This window comes from Homo sapiens, chromosome 1 (genome assembly GCF_000001405.40).
Source record: "Homo sapiens chromosome 1, GRCh38.p14 Primary Assembly".
Classification (NCBI taxonomy): domain Eukaryota; kingdom Metazoa; phylum Chordata; class Mammalia; order Primates; family Hominidae; genus Homo; species Homo sapiens.
The window spans coordinates 86,536,104-86,562,300 of NC_000001.11; the positions used below are offsets into that span (position 1 = coordinate 86,536,104).

Sequence of the window (26,197 nt, forward strand, 5' to 3'; positions counted from 1 at the left end):
AATATTTTATTTCACTCTCTTCTTGATTACATGGCTTCTGAGGAAAGTCAAACGTAATTTTTTGTTTATAGGTAAAATCCTCACTGAGAATTTTTTTAATCTTTAATTTTTTGTAGTTTAAAAATGATAAGCCTAGGTGTAATTTTTTTAACATTTATCCCACTTGGTGTTCTCTGAGCTTCCTGGATCCATACATTAATTTGGGAAAATTCTCAGTCTTTATTGTGTCAAATATGACTTCTATTCCTTTCTCTCTTTCTTCTCCTGGTATTCCCATCATGCCTATGTTACACCTATTGTAGTTGTCTTGCAATCCTTGGACACTCTTTTCTATTTTTTTTCATTGTTTGTTCTCTTTGCTTTTCAGTTTTGGAGGTTTGTACTGATATAGCCACAACCTTAGTGATTGTTTCATAAATTGTGTCCAATCTACTAGTAGGCACACCAGAGTATCCTTCATTTCTATTACAATGTTTTTTTATCTCTAGCATTTTTTTTCATTCTTTCTTAGGATTTCCACCTCTCTGCTTACATTGCCCATCTGGTTTTGCATGCTATTTCCTTTGTCCATTAGTATATTAATCATTTTTGTTTAAAATTTCTGGTCTGATTCCAATATCCCTGCCGTGTCTGGTTCTGATCCTTCCTCTCTTTCTTCAAATTGTAGTTTGCTTTTTAGTATGCCTTGTAATTTTTTCTTGGTAGCTGAACATGATGTACTGAGTAAAAGGAACTGCCACAAGTAGACCTGTAAAAATGTGGTGGTAAGGTCGGGGGTGGGGGCAGAGCGAAAATGTCCTATCATCCTATGATTAGTCTTTCGGTGAGCCTATGCCTCTGGACTGGAAAATGTTACAAATGTGTCTCAGGTTTTTCTCCCTCCTTAGATGGAACAGGATGGCTACAGTTGGCTGGAGCTGGGTATTTCCCTTCCTTCAAGTCAGTTAGGCTCTGAAGAAACCCCAGCAGGTTAGGCTCTGGTTAAATAGCTTTTCCTGAGAGCAGGCCTTGTTAAGAACAGAGTGCTCTGACATATTTTTAAATAGTTTTTCCCCCTCCTGCTACTGGAAGCATAAAGTTTTTGTTTGTTTGTTTCTAGTATTTACTATGAGAACCTGGTCAGGCTTCTGGAGGTAAAACTTACATAAATGTTGCACCTGCCCTGCCGCGCGCCCATGGCTGGCTCACCCTGGAGTTTTTAACTCTCAGACTTGTCCACACTGAGCTTCCAGCAAGTAGTCAATTACAGTTCAGATTTCCTGCCTTGGCACTGGTTCTCATGGTGGTTTCCACTCCTAAGTCTATACACCAGTAAGCTAAGATCCGGTATTCACCTGTCTGCTCCTATTTTGGGGGCAGCAGTTTGCCCTGTGCCCTGTGTCCTCACCTCTCTTAGATATCTAAGAAGAGTTGTTGATTTTTCAGTGTGTTCAACATTTTACTTGTTAGAATGGAGTAGAAACTTCAAAGCTCCTTACCTGTGAAATGGGAAATGAGAAGTTGATCCCCAGCTTTTTCATAAATAATGTAGTATTTTTTTAATGTTAAAAGAATGTCAGGAATCTACTTCCCCAATTCACATACATAATAATAACAGCCTCTATTTGTTGAACACTTACTATGTGACAGGCAGTGTTCTAAGTGTCTCATATATATATATATATATATATATATATATATATATATAAAATACATATTTTTTAATTCTTCGTGTTGGAAGTTTAATTAGAAGTAGAAATATAGGACATTTTCTACCTCTGTGATTTTGACATCGCTTTTGAACACAATTCTGGTATGTGTTCTTCCTTCATAAAATATAGAATACAATAGTAAAATAAAATAAAAATAACAGAGTAAAATAAAATATTAAAATTCTACCAATTCTTTAAGACCTAGCTGAAATATCATCATTTTCTCACTCCATCACTAGCCCTGACTCACCCAGGGAATCCCTAGGGTCATGATTCCTTGTTCTTTCCTCCTTGCTATCATATAATTTTATTATGGCACTTATGAGATTATATCATAGGTCTTCACTGGGACATTGCCTTCACGAGATTATGGATTCCTTAAGGGCAACAACTTTTTATTTTCTCAGCTTATCACAAAGGAAATACACCATAAACATGTAAGGAATTAGTATAATCACTATATGACCTGCTAAATTTGTTTTTCCCAGACAAGATTTCTATTGCTCCCCAGTAACAAAAGTTAAAAGCTTCTGCATTAGAAAAAAGAAAATTGTAAAATTTGTCAGAATCTGGTTTTTGCACTGGCATTTTAATCATTTATTTTAATATTCTTCCTCAAATAGAGGGGCTGACTGACCATAAGTTGGTCTCCTTACCAGGGAAAATGACGTATCTTCAAGGAATGCAGCATAGGGGTTATAAGTGTGACTTGGAGACGGACCAGTGTTTCAGTTTACTTCTAACACCCAATGGCTGTGTGACTTTCAGCAAGCTATTAAAGCTGAGTTTTCTCATTTGTAAAATGAGAAATAGTGTCTGCTCTTGAGGTTGTTGTGCGGATTAAAAAAGTTAATACATATAAATAATGTAACATAGTGCTTAGCATACATACAATAAGTGCTTAATAAATATTATTTGTAAGACATGACACCCTATCTTAAGCAGGTTTTCCTGAAGTAGGTCCTGTGACAAGGATTTATGTACAAGTAATTCGCCAAATAAGTTCTCAAGAAAGAAAAAAAAAAGGGTACGGGAGGAAGTGGACAAGAGAAGAATCCAAGCAGGGATATGAGTACAGGCAAAGTCCCACGGGGGCAGCATCAAGCTTGTCCACAGGGATCTGTAGTGTGTACGTTACACCTCAGAACTGGTCCCAACCCAAAGTGAAGGCATTCAGATTTCATATCGCTGAACTGTCAGTCATTGGCTATGTACCACTTCAGAGGATGTAAAGTACCTTCTGGCTCTCTATGTAAGTGGGTAAAATAGCTCTCATAGTCTGAAGGCTGTCCTCCAAAGAAAAGTTGCAGGTATGGGCCTTTGCAAGCAAATGCATGTTATGCAGAAAGAAGAAGCACACAGGAACACTCAAAGAGATATGAGGGGATTTGGGCAGTGCACCATACTCCAAGGTATAACCAACCAGGCAAAACATAACTACCCATTGCATGGCATAAAGACAAATACACATAGGTTCAAATCCCATCTCCTCCCTTTTCCTGGCTATACAAACTTTGACAATTTACTTAATATCTCTGAGTATCTATTTCACCATTTATAGAAAGGGGATGATAATACCTATCTCAAAGACTGATTATGAAAATTAAATAAGTTCATGTAAAGTAACTATCAAAATATCTGAGAGTTACCAGGTAACTCTCAGAATATAGTTATAAGAATATCAGACATAGTTATATAGTTATCAGAATATCAGACATACTCAGTATGCTCTGTAAATATTAATTCTCCCCAATCTTTGTAGGATTTCTTATATATAAAAAAGAATGGATTTTAGACTATGAATTGATAAATCTATAAGTACTTTCTCCTGGCATAACATTCTTTGGACAAACTCTCTTCAAAGCAATTTTGTTCAAAGGCTATTTCTCCTTGTGGCTTTTTCAATTCTTCTGATTATACAAAGAGAAATATTTAAATGTAAGAGCCATATGTTAGAATATTTCTGTAGCATCCGCTAAGCTTACAGCTTCTAAGAAGAAAGGGATGCCTTAAGCTCAGGGCACAGCTGATGTACAAATAGCAGCAGCAGAAGCAGCAGCTAGAGAGAGTAAGGAGAGGTTGGTGCAGCGCTGGTGAGCAGGAAGCCATGAGAAGAGATCACATGGGGCTAAAAGTCAAATGTCTCCAGTTTAAGTTTTGCCATTAAGTCAGTTACCTTCCTTGGACATCAGTGTTCTCATCTGTAACATCAGTGGTTGAATTAGATGGTCTCTAAGGTATTTTCCAGCAAGAAAATTCTCTCATATGGATATTCAAAATCTCAACTCCTAAATCCTGGATCTAGAAGATTTCCTGTTATGGTAAAAAGGGTACAAAAGTTCAGAGAAGTGAAATGACTGGCTGAATTGCTCAGGGGAGTCTTCATAAAGAAGTAGAAGTTAAGCTGGATAGAATTAGAAAAATGAGTATGGTCAAGGGGATAATAGTGGAAAGTAAAAATAATTTTCCACAAATTTTGACTAGAGAAAAAGATTTATCATAGATAATATTGGGAGATAAAACTAGAAATTATAATCTGGAACTACATTATGATGAATTCTGAATAGCAAGTAAAGGATTGTGCCAACCTGAAGGTAATGATGAACTCCTGAAGAACTTGAGAAAGAAAAGTTAGTATTATACATTAGATAATTTGATGTTGTGCAAGATTGGACTGGAAGATATTGCTAAGAAATCTTTAAGAAGACTGCCAGATTGTCCAGTTATGAGATGAAATGAGGGTTTTATACCATTTTGTTAATCTGCAGAGAGGTTAAACAGAGCACAGTTCTCTAACTGTGGAATGGAATAATCTCCAACAGTTTATCTATACATAAAGAACCTGTAAATTTCCCTTTGTTCATGTAAGACTATATTGCTCTTTATACATATTATCACCTCCCCTTGATGGGTTTGAATGTGCAAGTTTGGGAGTAGGAGCAGGAAAGAGCTGAAGCACTACTTTGTAGAACAGAGAGAAAGTATTTGGATTTCCAGAAATTTAACAATCCTAGAAGGAAGGGGTAAAAATCAGAGAATGAGGGAAGGCGAGGGGAAAACTGGACACTAAGTAGGAAGAAAGGCAGGCCAATGAGAAATCCTTAATGGTGGGATTCCCAAGAATGTACAAAGATAGGTGACTTCACATTGTTTCCTGTTTAGTGTATTTAGTATATTGAAATGGTAAAAACAGGGCCAGGCATGGTGGCTCATCCCTGTAATCCCAGCACTTTGGAAGGCCGAGGCAGGCGGATCACTTGAGGTCAGGAGTTCGAGACCAGCCTGGCCAACATGGTGAAACCATATCTCTAGTAAAAATACAAAAATTAGCCAGGTGTGGTGGCAGATGCTTGTAATCCCAGCTACTTGGGAGACTGAGGTAGGAGGATCGCTTGAACCCAGGAGGCAGAGGTTGCTGTGAGCCGAGATCGTGCCACTGTACTCCAGCCTGGGCAACAGAGCAAGACTCTGTCTCAAAATAAATAAATAAATAAATGAATAAATAAAATGGCAAAAACAAAAATGAAACACAGCAAACCCTGCCATTTTCCTTTTCAGAGTTTGGAACTGATTTGGAAATTGACATAGGAGTCAGACAGATTATAAAAATATTAGCTCCATATATGCTGAAGCTAAATTAATAAGTATGGCTTGACCTCAAGTCACAATTGGGATTTCTAATGCTTCTCTCCAAGCGTAGAGCTCATAGAGACACTCCCTCTTTCAAAGATACCTGCATCTGACTAGGTGCAAAGGGAATCCCAACCTCACGTAAGTTGGCACTGGGAATAGGAAAGAGAGACTGGTTTCTGGATCTGCCTCTAGAAGGCAAGACATGACCCTGAACCACATGTGCTTAGCACAAGGAATCCAGAGCACAAGGAATACACACACTACAGATAGAGAGATCCAAAAGGAAAGAGGAAGAAACTAAGCCTCACATAATAAATTCCAACTTATTTATATCTCAGGTTCTGTGTTGATAGTGTATAGCTTATAATAATTAAAATCCAATGTTGCCTTCAGAAAATTGTATAAGGATAAGTAACTCAGTTTTTCAGTTCAAAAAGAGGCTCTTTTCATTTTTTTAAATAAAAAGTTTACACATATTATTTCTTCCAGAAATAAAAAATGAAATCATCGACCACACATCTACCTCAGTAAGAATCCAAATTTTCTCATAAAGAAAATGACTATTACTCTCTTAGCATGTAATTGACTCATGATTTAAAAGTCCAGTGACAGGAGACCTCTCTGTTGCCATGGAAATCAGAAGTCCTGACTCTCTCTGGAGAATTCATTGTTAATGGAGCTAGACAGTAGAATGATGATTACCAGAGGGTGGGAACATGGGAGGATGAAGAGAGGTTGGTTAATGGGTACAAACATACAGTTAGGTAGAAGGAATAAGTTCTAATGTTCAATAGCAGCATAGTAGGGTTACTACAGTTAACGATAATTTATTGTATATTTCAAAAGAGCTAGAGGCCTGGTGCAGTGGCTCACACTTGTAATCCCAGCACTTTGGGAGGCCAAGGCAGATGGATCACCTGAGGTCAGGAGTTTGAGACCAGTATAGCCAACATGGTGAAACCTTGTCTTTACTAAATATACAAAATTAGCCGGCATGGTGCACAGCTATAATCCCAGCTATTTGGGAGGCTGAGGCTAGGAAAAAAAAAGCTTTAAAATGTTTCCAACACACACAAAAAAAGATAAATATTTGAGGTGATGGATATTCTAATTACCCTGATTTGATCATCGTTATGCATGTACCAGAATATCACATGAAGCTCATAAATATGTACAATTACTATTTCTCAATAAAAAAGAGAGAAAAACAAATATGGTGTTATTCTGATAGTAGTATCTGTGAAAACACAAGCTTGTTATGTTGGATACATTTTTCTATTACACACTAAACAAATACATAACAACTGATTTTTTTGTAACTCTTTTTTGACCCAGTGACAGACAAGGAAACTCATACTTTTTGAGTGACTCAAGTGAGCCTGTTTGCCTGAGTTGAATTGAATCTAGGTTTGACTCACTTAGCACAGTCTTTTCTGATTTATGACAAGCCAGCTTCTGCTGGAATGTCTACCTGAGGTTGGGTTGATGGAGGCAGTGGCCCTTATAGCTGGACCAGCTGACCTGGAAACTGTATTATGTAGACTAGTAATGGAAGGGGGTGTCTCTGAGGCCACCAGAGCAGCTTCCCACTTTCCTCTTTTAGAAGAGTATTAGAAACTCAACCAGGGGGATAGATGGAAAACAAGACAAGGATATACATTTGTCTCCAATGTCGAGGTTCCTGTGACACCAGGAAAAAGTAGGGAGAGACTGTTATAAATAGGCACCTTTTTTCACCAGGCTGCATGTGCTCATTGCCTGAGGGGAGCTTCTTCTAACTGCTTTGGCAAAGAGGAATTCTCTCCCAAATGTATAACTCAGAGTTTCCTGAGTTTTTTAAGGTTATAATAGCACCTCCTCAAAATAAATACTCCCGCAAACAATAGAGGGGATCTAAGTCCATCAGGCTTCTTCAACATTTCAAAGGCCTTGGACAAGCTTCTGTTTAGGCATTGTGATAAGCTGTTATTTTGGTTAAAATGATAATCATTCATTTATTCATTTAGTCAACGAGTCAGAAGGGATTTCCTGAACACAAGTTCTATGGGATGGGATCATGCTTGGTTTTCTTGGAGCCACCAAAGCTGGAGTTCAGGGAGAAGCAGGGAGCAGGAGGAAGGGAGGGTCAGTGAGGGCAAGACTGCATAGGATGTATTTGTTAATACCCAGTCTATTCACTCCAGATAATCACAGTTTCCCAGAGCTGCTCCTTTTTATAAAAACTTACTACATTACTTGCCTAGCAAAACAGCATTGCCTTGTGATGGAGAGATTAAATCCATGGGCTCTGGGATAAGAATGCTGGGTTCAGATCCTGACTTTACCAGTTACTAGCCATGTGATATTGGCAAGTTACTTAAATCTGTGTGCCTCAGTTCCTCCATACATAAAATGAAGGTAATATGCATACTTGCCTTACAGAGTTGCAGTGAGGGTTAAGTGAGACAATCTGTGCTCTGGTAAGAACTGAATAAATGTAAACTATTAATGTGATTCACTCTGCCTCAATAGTAACCAGCAAACTACCAGATAAAGTTTTTGATGTGCTTGTATGGAAATAAATTTTATTATTTCTTTACTGGACAGTATTTTTTAGGTAAATAATTTGATTGCTAAATTTATCAAAGTCTTTAAAATCTTTAATTTGGACCTCAAACCCATCTTAACTAATTTGCTGTTATTTACATTTAACTATCTTATCTCTTCCATTATTTATACCATTGTAATGCTGATAAATTGCTTTGTAAAAATAGAAGACATTAGTATTACTGTATCTGTTCATTTTATTATGGATTTTTATTAATTTTCACATTCTACTCTACAGAAAATATAAAGTATATGTCTATGTTTAGGAAATTCATCAAAATTAGAAAGTATAGAAAATGTGTCCCCAACATACTTAAGGTAATAAAAGCCATCTATGACAAACCCACAGCCAACATTATACTGAACAGGGAAAAGTTGAAAACATTCCCCTTGAGAACTAGAACAAGACAAGGATGCCCACTTTCACCACTTCTATTCAACATAATACTGGAAGTCTTAGCCAGAGCAACAAGACAAGAAAAATAAAGGGCATCCAGATTGGTAAAGAGGAAGTCAAACTGTCACTGTTTGCTGATGACATGATCATATATCTAGAAAACCCTAAAGACTCATCTAAAAAGCTCCTAGAACTGGTCAATGAATTCATCAGAGTTTTGGGATACGAAATTAACGTACACAAATCAGTAGCTCTCCTATATACCAACAGTGACCAAGCTGAGAATCAAATCAAGAAGTCAACCCATTTTACAATAGTGCAAAAAAATTAAAATACTTAGGAATATACTTAACCCAGGAGGTGACAGACTTCTGCAAGGAAAACTACAAAACACTGCTGAATAAATCATACATGACACAAACAAATGAAAACACATCCCATGCTCATGGATGGATAGAATCAATATTATGAAAATGATCATACTGCCAAACACAATCTACAAATCCAATGCAATTCCTATCAAAAACCACCATCATTCTTCACAGAACTAGGAAAACAATCCTAAAATTCATATGGAACCCAAAAGAAGCCTGCATAGCCAAAGCAAGACTAGGCAAAAAGAAAAAACCTGGAGGCATTACATTACCTGACTTCAGACTCTACTATAAGGCCATAGTTACCACCACAGCATGGTACTAGTGTAAAAGCAGGCATATAGACGAATGGAACAGAATATAGAACTTAGAAATAAACCAAAATACTTAAAGTCAACTGATCATCAACAAAGCAAACAAAAACAAAGTGGGGAAAGGACACCCTATTCAACAAATGGTGCTGGCATAATTGGCAAGCCACATGGTGAAGAATGAAACTGGGTTCTCATCTTTTACCTTATACAAAAATCAATTCAAGATAGATCAAAGACTTAAATCTAAAACCTGAAACCATAAAAATTCTAGAAGACAACTTCAGAAGAACCCTCCTAGACATTGGCTTAGGCAAAGACTTCATGACCAAAAACCCAAAAGCAAATGCAACAAATACAAAGATAAATTGTTGGGACTTAGTTAAACTAAAAACCTTCTGTGCAGCTAAAGAAATAATCAGCAGAGTAAACAGACAACCCACAGAATGGGAGAAAATCTCTGCAATCTATACAGCTGACAAAGGACTAATATCCAGAATCTACAACAAACTCAAACAAATCAGCAAGAAAAAAACAAACAGTCCCATCAAAAAGTGGGCTAAGGAAATGAATAGACAATTCTCAAAAGAAGGTATACAAACAGCCAACAAACATATGAAAAAATGCTCAACATCACTAATGATCAGAAAAATGCAAATCAAAACTACAATGCGATACCTCCCTACTCTTGCAAGAATGGCCATAATCAAAAAATCAAAAAATAATAGATGTTGGCATGGATGTGGTGAAAAGGGAACACTTTTACACTGCTGCTGGGAATGTAAACTAGTACAACCACTATGGAAAACAGTATGGAGATTCCTTAAAGAACTAAAAGTGGGCTGGGTGTGGTGGCTTACACCTGTAATCCCAGCACTTTGGGAGGCCAAGGTTGGTGGATCACGAGTTCAGGAGTTCAAGACCAGCCTGACCAACATGGTGAAAACCTATCTCTACTAAAAAACAAACAAACAAACAAACAAATATACAAAAATTAGCCGGGCATGGTGGCACACGCCTGTAATCCCAGCTACTGAGGAGGCTGAGGCAGAAGAATTCCTTGAACCCTGGAGGCGGAGGTTGCAGTGAGCCGATATCGCGCCACTGCACTCCAGCCTGGACAACAGAGTGAGAGTCCATCTCAAAAAAAAAAAGAACTAAAAGTGGAGCTACCATTTGATCCAGCAATCCTAGCAATACCACTCCTGGGTATCTATCCAGAGGAAAAGAAGTCATATATGAAGAAGATACTTGCACACACGTTTATAGCAGCACAATTTGCAATTGCAAAATATGAAACTAGCCCAAATGCTCATCAATCAACCAGTGGATAAAGAAAATGTGATATATATATATACACATATACCTACATACATACACACACACCATGGAATATTACTTAGCCATAAAAAGAAATGAAATAATGGCATTTGCAGCAGCCAATTTCAGAAATGGAAAACCAAACATCATATGTTCTCACTCATGAGTGGGAGCTAAGCCATGAGGATGCAAAGGCATAAGAACGACACAATGGACTTTGGGGACTCGGGGAAAAGGATAGGAGGGGGAGGTGAGGGATAAAAGACTACACATTGGGTACAGTGTACACTGCTCGGGTGGTTAGGTGCACCAAAATCTCAGAAATTATAATTAAAGAACTTATTCATGTAACCAAACCCCACCTGTTACCCAAAAACCTATTGAAAAAAAAAAATCCCTGTTGTCAAGGAGCCCTTAGAATATCAACAATGACAACAATAAAGAAAACGTGTTCCAACAGGAAAATGTGCAATGCATTTTATAAAATGATCTGATTTATTCTGACTCTTAGTCACTTTTATGTAACATATAATTAAGCAATCAGGTGAATTAGTCATGTATTTTCTCATGTAATGTACCTTTATACAGTCAACATCCCATAATCAGCCAATACTGGTAAGTTTTAGGAACGTATATAAAGAGAAAGAAAAGAAAAGCCTCTTGAACAAACCAACATTTGAGCCAGGAATAACTAGAGAGGAACAATGGGGTTATTCAGAGGTTTTGTTTTCCTCTTAGTTCTGTGCCTGCTGCACCAGTCAAATACTTCCTTCATTAAGCTGAATAATAATGGCTTTGAAGATATTGTCATTGTTATAGATCCTAGTGTGCCAGAAGATGAAAAAATAATTGAACAAATAGAGGTAAGAACAAAATGGAATATCTTTCATTAATTTTTAGTTTTTTACTATTATTTTTAATTGACATATAATTGTACATATTTATGGCATACAAAGTAGTATTTCTATACATGTATACAATTTGTAAAGATCAAATCAGGGTAATTAGCATATTCAGCAACTCAAACATTTATCTTTGCATTGTGTCGGGAACATTATAATTATTCTCTTCTAGCTACTTTGAAATACACAACAGATTATCAGTAACTTTAATTTTCCTATTGTACTATCAAATACTAGAACTTATTCTGTCTACATAACTGTGCTTTTGTACACATTGACAAACTTCTCTTCATTTCCTTTCTCTCCCCTATCCTTTGCAGCCTCTAATAAGTATCATTCTACTCTCTATCTCCATAAGATACCCTGGTTTAGTTCCTGCATATGCATAAGAATATGTGGTATTTATCTCTCTGTGCCTGGCTTATTTCATTTAACATAATGTCCTCCATGCTCATCCATGCTGCCACAAATGAAGCAATTTCATTTTTTTCAGTGACTAAGTAGTATTCATTTGTGTTTATATACCACACTTTATCCATTCATCTCTTGATGGACACTTAGGTTGACTTCACATCTTGGCCATCATGAATAGTGCTACAATAAACATGGAAGTGCAGACTGATGTCTTTTCCCTTGGATATATACCCACTAGTGGAATTGCTGAATCATGTGGTCATTCTATTTTTAGATTTTTGAAGAACCTCCATACTGTTTTCCATAATGGCTGTATCAACTTACATTTTCACCAATGGTATATAATAGGTCTCTTTCTCCACATCCTTGTCAGCACTTTTTTTGTCTTTTTGGTAATAACCATTCCAACTGGGCTGAGATGGTGTCTCATTCTGGTTTTGATTTGCATTTCCCTGATGATTAATGATGTTGACCACTTTTTCATATACTTGTTGGACATTTGTTTGTCTTCTTTTGAGAAATGTCTATTCAGATCATTTGCCCATTTTAAAATATTATTATTATTATTACTTTGTCTTTGAGGTTTTTGAGTTTCTTGTATATTCTGGATAATAATCCATTGTTGGATGAATAGTTTGCAAATATTTTTCCCAAGAATTGGGATGTCAGCCAGGCACGGTGGCTCTCATGCCTGTAATCTGAACACTTTGGGAGGCCGAGGAGGGCAGATCATGAGGTCAGGATTTCGAGACCAGGCTGGCCAACATGTTGAAACTCCGCCTTCACTAAAAATACAAAAAATTAGCTGGGCATGGTGGCACATGCCTGTAATCCCAGCTACTCAGGAGGCTGAGGCAGGAGAATTGCTTGAACCCGGGAGGCAGAGGTTGCAGTGAGCTGAGATCACGCCATTGCACTCCAGCCTGGGCAACAGAGCAAGACTCCCTCTCTGGAAAAAAAAAAAAAAAAAAAAAAGAATTGGGATGTCTTCTGTTTGAATTATGGAGAAGAAAACAAAGTTAATAGTTAATAATTATTATGGAAACTTCTGAGTCCTTCAGGAAGTTAAAAGCAGTGTGGTGCAGTGAGGACAATATGGTAATGGGCAGAGGGAGATGAAGGTTTTAGACAGGGTTCTACACTGTGTCACCACAAGACAGAAGACAAGGCACAGGGCTCCCTGACACTGAGTTTCTTGATCTGTAAGTTAGCAGTTGGACTCATTTGTTCTTTAAAGAATTCTTTGTTGAATGTTTATGACATGCTAAAGAGCAGTAAAATTTTTTTAAAGCCTCTGGCACCATGCAGTGTATCTTCTTTTCAGAGATATAGTTAATAAGTAAATGGATCACAGGTCAGATGGTGGTAGTAGGTTGCTGTGGAGTAAAACAAATCAGGAAGGGGGATATGGAGTGTTAGGTGGGGCTGGATTGGGGGAGAATGTGGGTTGCTATTTCATGAGGGAAGTCAGGGAAGGCCTCACTGATGATGTGTCAGCACAGACCTGAGATGAGCGAGAGAAGAGCCCATTGAAAACTAGGGGAGAAAAACAGCATGGAGGTGAGAATTCGTTTGATGTAACCAAGGAAACAGCTATGAATGAGCAGGAGGAAGCATAGGGTGAGCTGAAGTTAGAGAGGTGGCAGGGCCTAGACCACCAGAAAGACTTTGACTTTGACTCTGTGATGAAAATCCATAGGAGGATTCTGAGCAGAGAAGGGTGTGTTCTCATGCATGTTCAGGAATCACTCTGACTGCAATATTAAGGACTGTAAAGAATTTCCACTTGTCACCCATCCTCTATAAACTCTGTGGCAGCTTACTGGTGTAGAAGGACCCCAGGTAGGAAACTCTTGCAGGTGGGCAGTGATGGTGACTAGGAACAGGGAGGTTGTGGTAAAGATTGTTAAAGTGATATGGTGGTTAAGATGTATAGGGGATAGGTGAGGGTAGGAAGGAAATATAATAAGAGTCAAGGAAGAATTCAAGAGTTTTGCTTGAACACTTGGATTGAGAAGGGGAAGACTGTAAGTGGAGAAAATTTGGCATTTGGAAAATCAAGAGTTAGTTGGTTGGGGCTTTTGGAATTTATGTTACTTCTGAAAACATCCATGTAGATGGAGGCAGGAATCTGAATTCATGATGAAGAATGAAAATTTGGGTGTAGATAACTAGGCAAGTACAGATGGAGAAGAGAAAGGCTCCAGGACTAAACCAAGGACACTGATTTCTGTTTCTTTCAAATATAACATTCTATGTAATATAGAGTTTGGTGGTGTAGCCACGTAAATTATTTTTCCCTCTCCCTGATATCAACATATACTAATTCTTTATATTTAATTTCTCCACTACTGTGTTCTGCTGCTTATGGTTGGACCCTTCTGCATGTTTTAATTACCCAGCAGAAGGTGATAGGCATGAACTAAGTTGTAATCAAGTGATTTTGTGGCTGCCATTTGTCATTCACTCTCTATAAACTCTGTTACATCACAAAGATATTTGCTTATAGGTACCTTTTAAATTTCATGAGAAGATAATAATTCATTTTACTAAAGATGTTTAAAGAACAGTTAATGCAGCTAATTCTGAATGATAGGTTTTTAGTGTCCAGAGGACAGTAAATCAGTATCAAACTTTTCTTACTCAGACATCACTATTTGAAAGAATTACTTGGATGGGCAAAAATTTTGTAAACATGGTCCTCTATAAGTACAAGCAGAAATTCAATTGTTTACAGGCATGCCCAGATTTTACAATGTTTCCTGACATTTCTCCCAGCCCTTCACAAAATCTTCGCGTTTAATATCTTCAAGAAACCCTATGAAATACTATAATCCACATTTTACAGAAGAAAAAACTAGGGGTCCGAAAAAAAAAATGATTTTTCTAAGATCATAGTAAGTATCACAGTCAGAGGTAAGAATCGCTTCAACCAAGGAGGCAGAGGTTGCAGTGAGCTGAGATCATGCCACTGCATTCCAGCCTGGGTGACAGAGCAAGACTCTGTCTCAAAAAAATAAAAATAAAAATAAAATTAAAAAAAAGTGCCTTTCATCCTTATATTTCCTCATGAGATAATAAGGTCTAGGGAGGGATCATTTCTTTTTTTTTTTTTTTTGAGACAGAATCTCGATCTGTCCCCCAGGCTGGAGTGCAGTGGTGCGATCTTGGCTCACTGCAAGCTCCGCCTCCCACGTTCACGCCATTCTCCTGTCTCAGCCTCCCGAGTGGCTGGGATTACAGGCGCCTGCCACCACGCCCCGCTAATTTTTTGTATTTTTAGTAGAGACGGGGTTTCACCGTGTTAGCCAGGATGGTCTCAATCTCCTGACCTCGTGATCCGCCCGCCTCGGCCTCCCAAAGTGCTGGGATTACCGTCGTGAGCCACCGCACCCAGCCTCTTTTTTTAATGTTTAAGAAAATGCAGTTTTTATCCAAAATGAGTTTGTGTACCAAATATTAATAGTTTAGCTAATCATTGTTATATTCGTTCATTATGTTATTTTTATTTCAATTCTTGCTTTTAAAAAACCCAAAACTTTAAAAATCCTTATGCCTTGTCTATTTTCTTTACCTTTGTTTTGTTTTGTTTTGATGGATAATTTTTTAATAAAGTGAGGTTTACATCACTGATATTTAAGAATGGCTGTATCCACAAAAGAAAACAAACCTTTTTGGCTAAGGGGTGAGGAAGTTAGAAAAAGCATGAGAAACAGGAAACACAAGAGGGGTGAGGCGGGGCAGGAGAGGAAGGTTGCAGGCACCTCCAGCTCACTCCCTGAGGCAGCACCTATGACCCTACAGATCAAGGGGCCATGAATGACAGGGATTCGGATTTCTTTCATTCTAGACTTCAGCCTTAACCTTTTGTTCCAGCACCAATCTAACAGAGCAGCACAGGCATTTCTAATCCAGTAGCAATGCTATTTCCTCAGCCAGGGCAGGTGCCTGGGCTGACGGGAGGCCTTCAGGAACACCGCCTGTCAGAAGGCACCACGGAGGGTCTCTGAGGTCCTGAAGACCAACTGGTGCCCGTGATCTCCAAACAGACAAATATTTGACCTTTGCCTTCAATGACATTTACACATAAATAGACATAAATAAAATTCTCCATAATTTATGCTCAAGTCTAGGAAGATGTGGCTCCCACAGTAGATTTTCTAATGACAAAAAAAATGTAGTAGCTGTGTGCGGTTTTTGAGTTTCACCCAGGTCTCACGGTAGCACAGAACATAATGGAGAAGTATTGCACGCACATTTAAAGTAAAACATGATACACTCACACTGTTGACAAGGACCGTAGTGATGCCCACTGCAAAAAAAATCCCTTATTTAAACCTGAAAAAAATGAAACACACCAACTACAATTGTTCAGGCTATAAAAGTTCTAATGTCGCAGCAAAGGATATTTATAGAAAAAATATACTTTTAAGAAAATAGCTGAAAAAATCTAAAGACATAAGGTATAAAAAGTTTAAAAATATGTATCTTAAGACAAAATATTGCCCAAAACACTTAAAACTGAATTGTAAAAAAATCACCTGTCTGAATGTAAAGGAGGTTGATGCAGCTGTGGTTCGCCGTCCTCTACAGTGGGGGACACAAAGAGAGACGAAGGGCCCAGGGCTGTAAGGACGTCAGGACCGGTCCAGAGAGGAGAAGTCTTCCAGGAGAACAGCCATCTCTGCCTGGCCCTCCACAGCGGGGAAAGTGAGTGGGACGGGCCTGGGGTTGCAGACCCTGCTGATGATGGTCTGTTCTGGGATTTCTCAGAATCAGCAGACAGGGCAGCAAGGCTGGGCAGCGGGCGGCAGGCGCACCCTCTACGGGAGCCAGTGCTCACGTGTCCACGCGTCAGACACAGCTGCGAGCGCTCAGGGCTCTGGTTCAGGTCTCCACCAGGATCTCCACCATGTGGTCCAGCTCGCCCAGATCGGACTTGCAGATGGAGCTGGGGCACGGGGTGACCGGAGCCAAGCCCTCGAGCCCTTCACAGGGGCCCGGCCCGGCACCCCCATCATGCCTGTCAGTACTGTGTCCAGGTTGTAGTAGGGGCTGTCCACGCCTGAAAACAGCTCTTCCATGTAGCGGGGGATTTTAGTCTCCAGCGTTTCATATATATCTGATCGAGTGATTTGCGAAAGCTTCCTCTGTTTTCTTGAGGGCCATCCATCTCCCAGACGCTCCTCCCTCTGCGGGTGCCTCGGCGTCTGTGCTGAGGTGACTGGGCAAAGGTTAGAAACTGAGCCCTGTGCGTGGCCGTCTCCCAAGCCAGAGGCAGGACGTGCCCCCTCCTGCTCCCACGCCGCGCGGCACAGAATCTCCATGAAGACCAAGTGGTCCAGCGGCGCCCACCCTGCAGCCTGGGGTGTGCGCCGTATCCCATCCTGCGTCATCTCCTCTTGGATCTGCCGGACCACGTGGCAATGAGGATTGAGCGGCACAGGTTGGGCTCCACAAGCATGTGGCAAAGCTGCAGCTTCACCAGGGACATGTCCAAGAGGGACTGCCGCTGCAAGCTGTACGAGGACACGGTCTTCAAGCCGGCCAGGGCTCCCTCCACGTCTTCCTGGTGGCCAACACGTTTCCCCTTCAGTCCTCGTGCAAACATTGTGTCTTTGAGAGAACGGTTATCTGGGTCCTGCCGTCTCGTGCATCCCACACGAAGGCCACAGAAGAGGCGAGGCAGCAGAGATCCTCTATTCCAGCAAGCTGTCGAAGCCTTTGTCACGACGATCCTGTCCGACCCGCGAGTCTGCCCGCTGGGTCCTCTGCTCAGCCGACGCCACCGCCGCTGCCGCCTGCTTCCCGCCGCTCAGGGAGGAGCGCCCGCCAGCGCGGGGCCTTTACCCTTTTAAAACAATCAACTCTGCTTAGGAAACTAGCCATAGTTTTACTTCCCATAAAAAGCTTATGTGTCGGCCCGGGCATGGTGACTCACGTCTGTAATCCCAGCACTTTGGGAGGCTGAGGCGGGTGGATCACCTGAGGTCAGGAGTTCGAGACCAGCCTGGCCAACATTGCGAAACCCTCTCTCTACTAAAAAATACAAAAATTAGCTGGGCCCAGTGGCAGGCGCCTGTAATTCCAGCTACTCGAGAGGTCGAGGCAGGAGAATCGCTTGAACCCGGGAGGCGGAGGTTGCAGTAAGCCAAGATTGAGACATTGAACTCCAGCCTGGGAGACAGAGCAAGACTCTGTCCAAAAAAAAAAGTTTGTGTGTCAATGTATGACCCATAGTGTCTTCTTTTCTTTTCTTTTTTAACTTTTATTTTGGGTTCAGGGGTACATGTGAAGGTTTGTTGCATAGGTAAACTCATGCCATGGGGGTTTGTTGTACAGATTACTTCATCACCAGGTATTAAGCCTAGTACCCAATATTATCTTTCTGTTCCTCTCCTTCCTCCCAACCTCCACCCCCACTCTCAAGTAGACCCCAGTGTCTCTTGTTCTCTTCTTTGTGTTCATGAGTTCTCATCATTTACCTCCCATTATAAGTGAGAACATGTAGTATTTGGGTTTCTATTCCTGTGTTAGTTTGCTAAGGATAATAGCCTACAGCTCCACCCATGTTCCCGCAAAAGACATGATCTCATTCTTTTTTATGGCTGTGTAGTATTCCATGGTGTATATGTACCACAGTTTTTGTTTGTTTGTTTGTTTTGAGACAGAGTCTCCCTCTGTCACCATGCCCAGCTAATTTTTGTATTTTTAGTAGAGATGGGGTTTCACCATGTTGCACAGGCTGGTCTCGAACTCCTGACCCGAAGTGATCTGCCCACCGCGGCCTCCCAAGGTGCTGGGATTACAGGTGTGAGCCACCATGCCCGGCCCTGTACCACAATTTTTAATCCAATCTGTTATTGATGGGCATTTAGGTTGATTCCATGTCTTTGCTATTGTGAATAGTGCTGCTACAAACATTCAAGTGCATGTGTGTCTTTCTGGTGGAATGATTTATATTCCTCTGAGTGTATATCCAGTAATGGGATTGCTGGGTTGAATGGTAGTTCTGCTTTTAGCTCTTTGAGGAATCACCATATTGCTTTCCACAGTGGTTGAACTAATTTACACTCCCATCAACAATGTATAAGTGTTCCCTTTTCTCCTCAACCTCGCAAGCATCTGGTTTTTTTTTTTTTTACTTTTTAATAATAGCCATTCTAACTGGTATGAGATGATATCTCATGGTGGGTTTTTTTGTGTGTGTGTTTCTTTAATGATCAGTGATACTGAGCTTTTTTTCACTTGCTTGTTGGCCACATGTCTATCTTCTTTTGAAATGCATCTGTTCATGTCCTTTGCCCACTTTTTAATGCATTGTTTGTTTTTCTCTTGTAAATTTGTTTACATTCCTTTTAAATGCTGGATATTAGACCGGTGTTGGACGCATAATTTGCAAATATTTTCTTCTATTCTGTAGGTTGTCTGTTTACTCTGTTGATAGTTCCTTTTGCTGTGCACAAGCTCTTAAGTTTAATTAGATTCCACTTGTCAATTTTTGCTTTTGTTGCAATTGTTTTAGGCATCTTTGTTATAAAATCTTTGCCTATGTCCAGGATGTATTGCCTAGGCTGTCTTCTAGGGTTTTTATAGTTTTCAGTTTTACATTTAAGTCTTTAATCTTAATCTTGAGTTGATTTTTATACATGGTGTAAGGAAGGGATCCAGCTTCAATCTGCATATGGTTAGCCAGTTATCCCAGCACCATTGATTTAATAGGGAATCTTTTCCCCATTGCTTGTTTTTGTCAGCTTTGTTGAAGATTAGATGGTGGTGGATGTGCAGCCTTATTTCTGGGCTCTCTGTTGTGTTCTGTTGGTCTAGGCCTGTTTTTATACCAGTACCATGCTCTTTGGGTTACTGCATCCCTGTAGTGTAGTTTGAAATCAGGTAACATGATGCCTCCAGTTTTGTTCTTTTTGCTTAAGATTGCCTTGGCTGTTCAGGCTCTTTTTTATTCCATATGAATTTTAAAATAGTTTTTTTCTAGTGGTGTGAAAAATGTTGTTGCTAGTTTGATAGGAATAGCAATGAATCTATAAATTGCTTTGGGCAATATAACCATTTTAGTGATATTGATTCTTCCTATCGATGAGCATGGGATGTTTTCCATTAGTTTGTGTCTTCTCTGACACAATTTCTTTGAGCAGTGTTTTGTAATTCTCATTGTAGGAATGTTTCACCTCCCTGGTTAGCTGTATTCCTAGGTATTTTATTCTTTTTGTGGCAATTGTGAATGGTATTGCCTATTCGATTCAGCTCTGGACTTAGCTGTCATTGGTGTAGAGGAAGGCTAGTGATTTTTGTACATTGATTTTGTATGCTGAAACTTTGCTGAAGCTATTCATCAGCTGAGGGAGCTTTTGGGCTGAGACTATGGGGTTTTCTAGATATAGAATTATGTCATAATCAAAGAGGGATAGTTTGACTCCCTCTCTTCCTATTTGGATGCCCTTTATTTATTTCTCTTGCCTGATTGCTCTGGCCAGGACTTCCAATATTAAGTTGAATAGGAGTGGTGAGAGACAGCATCCTTGTCTTGTGCCAGTTTTCAAAGAGAATGCTTCCAGCTTTTGCCCATTCAGTATAATGTTGGCTATGGGTTTGTCATAGATGGCTCTCATTATTTTGAGGTATTTTCCTTCAATACCTACGTTATTGTGGTGTTGAATTATATTGAAAACCTTTTCTCCATCTCCTGAGATAATCATGTGGTTTTTGTCTTTAGTCCTGTTTATGTGATGAATCACTTTTATTGATTTGTGTATGTTGAATCAATCTTGCGTCCTGGAGATGATGCTTACTTGATCATGGTGGATTTGCTTTTTGGTGAGCTGCTGGATTCGGTTTGCCAGTATTTTGTTGAGAATTTTTGCATCAATGTTCATAAAGGATATTGGCCTGAAGTTTTCTTTTTTTGTTGGGTCTCTGTCAGGTTTTCATATCAGATTGATACTGGCCTCATAGAATGAGTTGGAGAGGATCCCTCCCTCCTCAAATTTTTGGAATAGTTTCAGTAGGAATGGTACAAGCTCTTCTTTGTACATCTGGTAGAATTTGGCTGTGAATCCATAAGATCCTGGGCTTTGTTTGTTTGTTTGTTGTTTGTAGGCTCTTTATTACTAATTCAGTTTAGGAACTTGTTATTGGTCTGTTCAGGGAATCAATTTCTTCCTGATTCAGTCTTGGGAGATGTATGGGTCCAGGAATTTATCCATCTCTTCTAGGTTTTCTAGTTTGTGTCTTTAGAGGTGTTCATAGTAGTTTCTGATGGTTATTTTTATTTCTGAGGGGTCAGCATTAACATTCCCTTCATTATTTCCAATCCTGTTTATTTGGACCTTCTCTCTTTTCTTATTTATTAGTCTAGCTGGTAGCTAGTGGCATATATAGCTTATAAATTTTTTCAAAAATTAGATCCTGGATTTGTTGATCTTTTGAGTGGTTTTTTGTGTCTCATTTTCTCATTTTCCTTCAGTTCAGCTCTGATTTTGATTATTTCTGGTCTTCTGCTAGCTTTGGGGTTGATTTGTTCTTGCTCCTCTAATTCCTTCAGTTGTAATGTTAGGTTGTTAATTTCGGATCTTTCTAACTTTTTGATGTGGGTATTTAATGCTATAAATTTCCCTCTTAAAACTGTCTTAGCTGTGTCCCAGGGATTCTGGTATGTTGTATATTTGTTCTTATTAGTTTTGAAGAACATCTTGATTTCTGCTTTAATTTTATTATTTACCAAAACAAAAGTCATTCGGGAGCATGTTGTTTAATTTCCATGTAATTGCATGGTTTTTAGTGATGTTCTTACTCTTGAATTCTATTTTTATTGTGCTGTGGTTTGTGAATGTGTTTAGTATGATTTCAGTTCTTTTGCATTTGCTGAGAATTGTTTTATGTCCAATTATGTGGTTGAGTTTAGAGTATGTGCCATGTGGTGATGAGAAGAATGTATATTCTGTTGTTATGGGGTGGAGAGTTCTGTATAGGTCTATCGGATCCATTTGGTCCAATGTTGAGTTCAGGTCCTGAATATCTTTGTTAATTTTCTGCCTCAATGAAGTTTCCCACTATTATTGAGTGGGAGTCTATGTCTCTTTTTACGTCTCTAAGAACTTGCTTTATGAATTTGGGTGCTCCTTTGTTGGGCATATATATATTTAGAATAGTTAGAGCTTCTTGTTAAAATGAAGCCTTTACCATTACGTAATGCCCTTCTTTGTCTTTTTTTTTTTATCTTTGTTGGTTTGAAGTCTGTTTTGTCTGAAATTAGGATTACAACCCCTGCTTTTTTCTGCTTTGCATTTGCTTGGTAGGTTTTCTCCATCTTTTTATTTTGAGCCTATGGGTGTCATTATGCCTTTATAAGATGATTCTCTTGAAGATAACATACCATTGGGTCTTGCTTTTTTATTCAGCTTGCCACTCTGTGCCTTTTAAGTGGGGCATTTGGCCCATTTACATTGAAAGTTAATATAGACATGTGTGGATTTGATCTTGTCATTGTTTTGTTGGCTAGATATTATGTTGACTTGTTTGAGTGACACTGGTCTGTGTGTCTGGCTTTATAGTGACACTGGTCTGTGTGTCTAAGTCTGTTTTTGTATTAGCTGGTAACAGTCTTTCTATATTTAGTGCTTCTTTCAAGATCTCTTGTCAGGCAGGTCTGGTGGTAATGAATTTCCTTTGACAAGGAAACTTAGTTTGGCTGGATATGAAATACTTGGTTGAAGATTATTGTATTTAAGAATGCTGAATAAAGGCCCCAGTATTAGTCCACTCTTATGCTGTTAATAAAGACATACCTGAGACTGGATAATTTATAAAGGAAAAGATTTCATTAACTCACAGTTCAGCATGGCAGGGAGGCCTCAGGAAACTTACAATCATGGCAGAAGAGGAAGCAAACATGTCCTTCTTCACATGGCAGCAGGAAGGAGAAGTATGAGAGCCGAGCTAAGGGGGAAGCCCCTTATGAAACCATCAGATCACATGAGAACTTACATCATGAGAACAGGATGGGGAAGACCACCCCCATGATTCAATTATCTCCACCTGGTCCCTTCCACAACACGTGGGGATTATGGGAACTACAATTCAAGATAAGATTTGGATGGGGACACAGTGAAACCATATCAGCTTCCAATCTCTTCTGGCTTGTAAGGTTTCAGCTGAGAGGTCCACTGTTAGCCTGATGGGGTTCCCTTTGTAGGTGATCTGCCCTTTCCTCTCTAGCTGCCTTTAACACTCTTTTTTTTTTTTTCATTTCAACCTTGGAAAATCTGATGATTGTGTCTTGGGGATGATCTTCTTGTGTAAAGTCTTGCAGGAGTTCTCTGTATTTCCTAAATTTGACTGTTGGCCTCCTAGCAGGTTTGGGGAAGTTTTCATAGATGATATGCTGAAATATGTTTTCCAAGTAGTTTGCTTTCTTCTGGGAGGAACTATTTTTCTTATTTGTCCTTGTATGTGAGTTTATAGTTCTGAATATAAGGTGATATTATTTTCATATAGGTGGTAGAGCAACAGTTCTGTAATCAAAGTTTTGTCTCTACTATGGGTTTTTTTTCATCACACCTCCCACCCACACAGTCTCCCAACCTAGCTGCTTCTCCTAAGGTTGGGATGAGAAACCTCTTCAATGACCCATTTCTATAGAGTGTCCTCCTCAGTTTGCATCAACTAAGCCTGTTTTCTACGAAGATTTCTTATAAATAGTAATGATATCAAACAGTTTTAAGATTGCCTGTTTGTAGAGGACTTTATATCTGATTCCATCTCTATGCCAACCATACTGATAGATAGTAATAGTCCATTGAAGGATGAGGAAACTGAGATTCGGAGCATTGCATAAATCAACCAAGATCTGTCATCCAGAAGATACTAACATTAGTATTAGAATCACGTAAATGACTCCAAAGTCCATGTACATATTCCTATTAATCAATTCCTCTTAATGCCAAATACAAGCATTTGCCTTTTAAGGCAGGATTATAGAAGACTGAGGAGGCTTTCAACGTGCAGGAATAAGTGATGGTTTGGGGTTGACAGGTGGCAGAGTTAGAATAATGAGACAGAGACCCTACTCATCAGTCTGTTGCTTTTCTGTCCACTCTTAAGTTGGGAAATGCCTGTCACAAAACCCTGCTAATTTAGTTCACTCTAACTTCACCATCCTCACATATTTTTTCCTTTAATGACAGGATATGGTGACTACAGCTTCTACGTACCTGTTTGAAGCCACAGAAAAAAGATTTTTTTTCAAAAATGTATCTATATTAATTCCTGAGAATTGGAAGGAAAATCCTCAGTACAAAAGGCCAAAACATGAAAACCATAAACATGTAAGTGTCGAAATATTCTCTTAAAAAATTATATTTTCTGATATTAACCATTTTTGCCACAAATTATTTAAGAGTCTTTCTAACTGAATATTATCTTTTTTATTTTTGATGTTTGACAATCTTTTTCAACATTCTCAGGCTGATGTTATAGTTGCACCACCTACACTCCCAGGTAGAGATGAACCATACACCAAGCAGTTCACAGAATGTGGAGAGAAAGGCGAATACATTCACTTCACCCCTGACCTTCTACTTGGAAAAAAACAAAATGAATATGGACCACCAGGTAGAAATTTTGGTTAAAAAATAATTTTGCAGTGATTGCAGCATACAACTTTTTATGCAGGTTAAGTGTGCAGGCCATGGGGCCAAAGTCCCTAGAATCAAATCCTGGCTCCCCTACTTACTAGCTGTATGTGACCTTAAACAAGTGACCTACTGTCTCTGTGGTTATTCCCTACAAAATGGCAAAGAGAGGAGTTTCTACCTTGTAAAATATTTGTTCTACATTAAACTAGAGAATCCAGACAAATATACTCAGTACAGTGTCTACAAAAATATAAACAGAGAAAAGCAATAATAAATGTTTTTCTTAAGGCATGCTTTTTAAATTTTAATTTTTCCACTTCTCCATAGCTGGATATTAACAAATCACCAGTAAGCTACAAGAAAGCCAGATGTATAGTAAGCTGGAAAGAGTCATGTTGCCAGTTACTGGTCAAGAGAAAACACTCCTAGGCTATCAGTTGCTGATAATATCAATCTATTTCATTGAAACAGATGACATTGTCAGTAATTGATCATTTTGACCTATAAAAATGGCAATGTCATCTAGTTCAATCTAAATGCTAAAATAATTTGTCAAAACAACAAAAGTGCACTTTACAGACAAAAATGCAAATCATTGTTAAAGGAGGGCTCTACACATGTATCACTATTAAATGGGAACCTTGCTGAATCCGCATACCCCAGAATCACCCTCTTCTATTCCTGTTCATTGAACACTCGTTAAGTCTCTTGTCTCTGCCAAACATTCAGCTAGATCTGGTCCTATTCATTACCTGGACCAGTTCCCCTCTCCAGTCTTGAAAGTTCCATCATCTCCTCATGTCCCAATCTTACCTCTTCCCTGTAATTATCCTGACCACGTTTGTTTTCCTTGGCACCTCTAATCCTTTGTGCCCTTTTAGTTATACTTTCTTTTCACCTGGCATGTCCACCAAAGTCAGTCATTTCAACTACAAGTATAAATAGCTCAATTCTCTCACCACTCTTATCCTTATGTTTCATTCAATTTACTAAATCTTCTGAATTTTCCGTCTTCTTTATTCTTGGCTCCTGTTATGTTTTGAAGAATGGTGAAGAAAATTATAAAACTAAGTGACATGATTATAACAACACACTTTCCAAGCTCAGTGAAGCACTCAAAGCTACTCAACAATATTTTTACTCAGCTCTTCTCAACTCTCTTTCTCAATTCCTATAGCAGCTGTTCTAAAATGTCTACCAATTTTCTCAAGATCTCCAGGCACTCTTCTCAATCCCATCAATTAATGTCCTGATTGATAAAACAGAGGTCTCTACATTCTTCCTCTCTATTTCCAAACTTATTACCACCTACACCTTCTCTACCTGCACCTTTCTTAGAACAGAAAGGCTTCTCCAATTTGTAAGCTTAATGTCCCCATATCAGTTATTGATTTTTCCCGTATCCCACACCTCAACCCTATTCTATTACTGATAGGTCACCCCTTCTTCTTAGACAGATCTTTCTTCCTTTTCACAAATGCATAATGTGATATATGCATTTGTGTAAAAAACTCACATTCCTCAAGGTCCTAAAAAACAGTAAGGTTTTTGGATAAATAACATTAGTAAGAATCTTATGCAATTTTGTAATAATCATGATAACACCACCAACAATCACAATAGATCATTTAGATCACCTAGGCAAGCAATGCAGTATGGCCAGAGGCTGCCATAGCACATATTAAAAGTACACACACACACGACACACACACACATGGTGCAAGGAAGGGGAGAGAGAAATGTTACTAGAAATAGGAACAGAGATAGCTGGAAATGAGACAATGATGTAGACAGGAATGGAATTCTAAGTCAAAAGGGCTGCTTTTAAGGTGGGCATGGGAGGCAGGGAAACCTGAGAACGAATCAAGTCTGAGTAGACTCTTAAATTTTTCTTAACACGCACCAAATTCCTACTGCAG

At 39.0% G+C, this 26,197-nt stretch overlaps 1 protein-coding gene and 1 pseudogene across 3 annotated transcripts in view; one reads left to right on the plus strand and one right to left on the minus strand.

The window, feature by feature from the left end:
* Positions 1-10,974: 10,974 nt before the first annotated feature.
* Positions 10,975-26,197, plus strand: part of CLCA4 (chloride channel accessory 4) — a 33,677-nt gene continuing 18,454 nt past the window's right edge. For 2 of the 3 annotated variants that reach the window (NR_024602.2, NM_012128.4), the window contains exons 1-3: positions 10,975-11,175; positions 23,829-23,969; positions 24,108-24,255. Coding sequence is in view for 2 of the 3 variants with exons in the window: in NM_012128.4 (NP_036260.2) it covers positions 11,017-11,175; positions 23,829-23,969; positions 24,108-24,255 (448 nt within the window). In the remaining variant the exon portion in view is untranslated. Of the gene's footprint in view, positions 11,176-13,165; positions 13,189-23,828; positions 23,970-24,107; positions 24,256-26,197 lie in introns of those variants that run through there. The other variant, XM_011541015.3, reaches the window with a different exon arrangement.
* On the minus strand, positions 15,213-17,455 carry CDCA4P2 (cell division cycle associated 4 pseudogene 2; annotated as a pseudogene).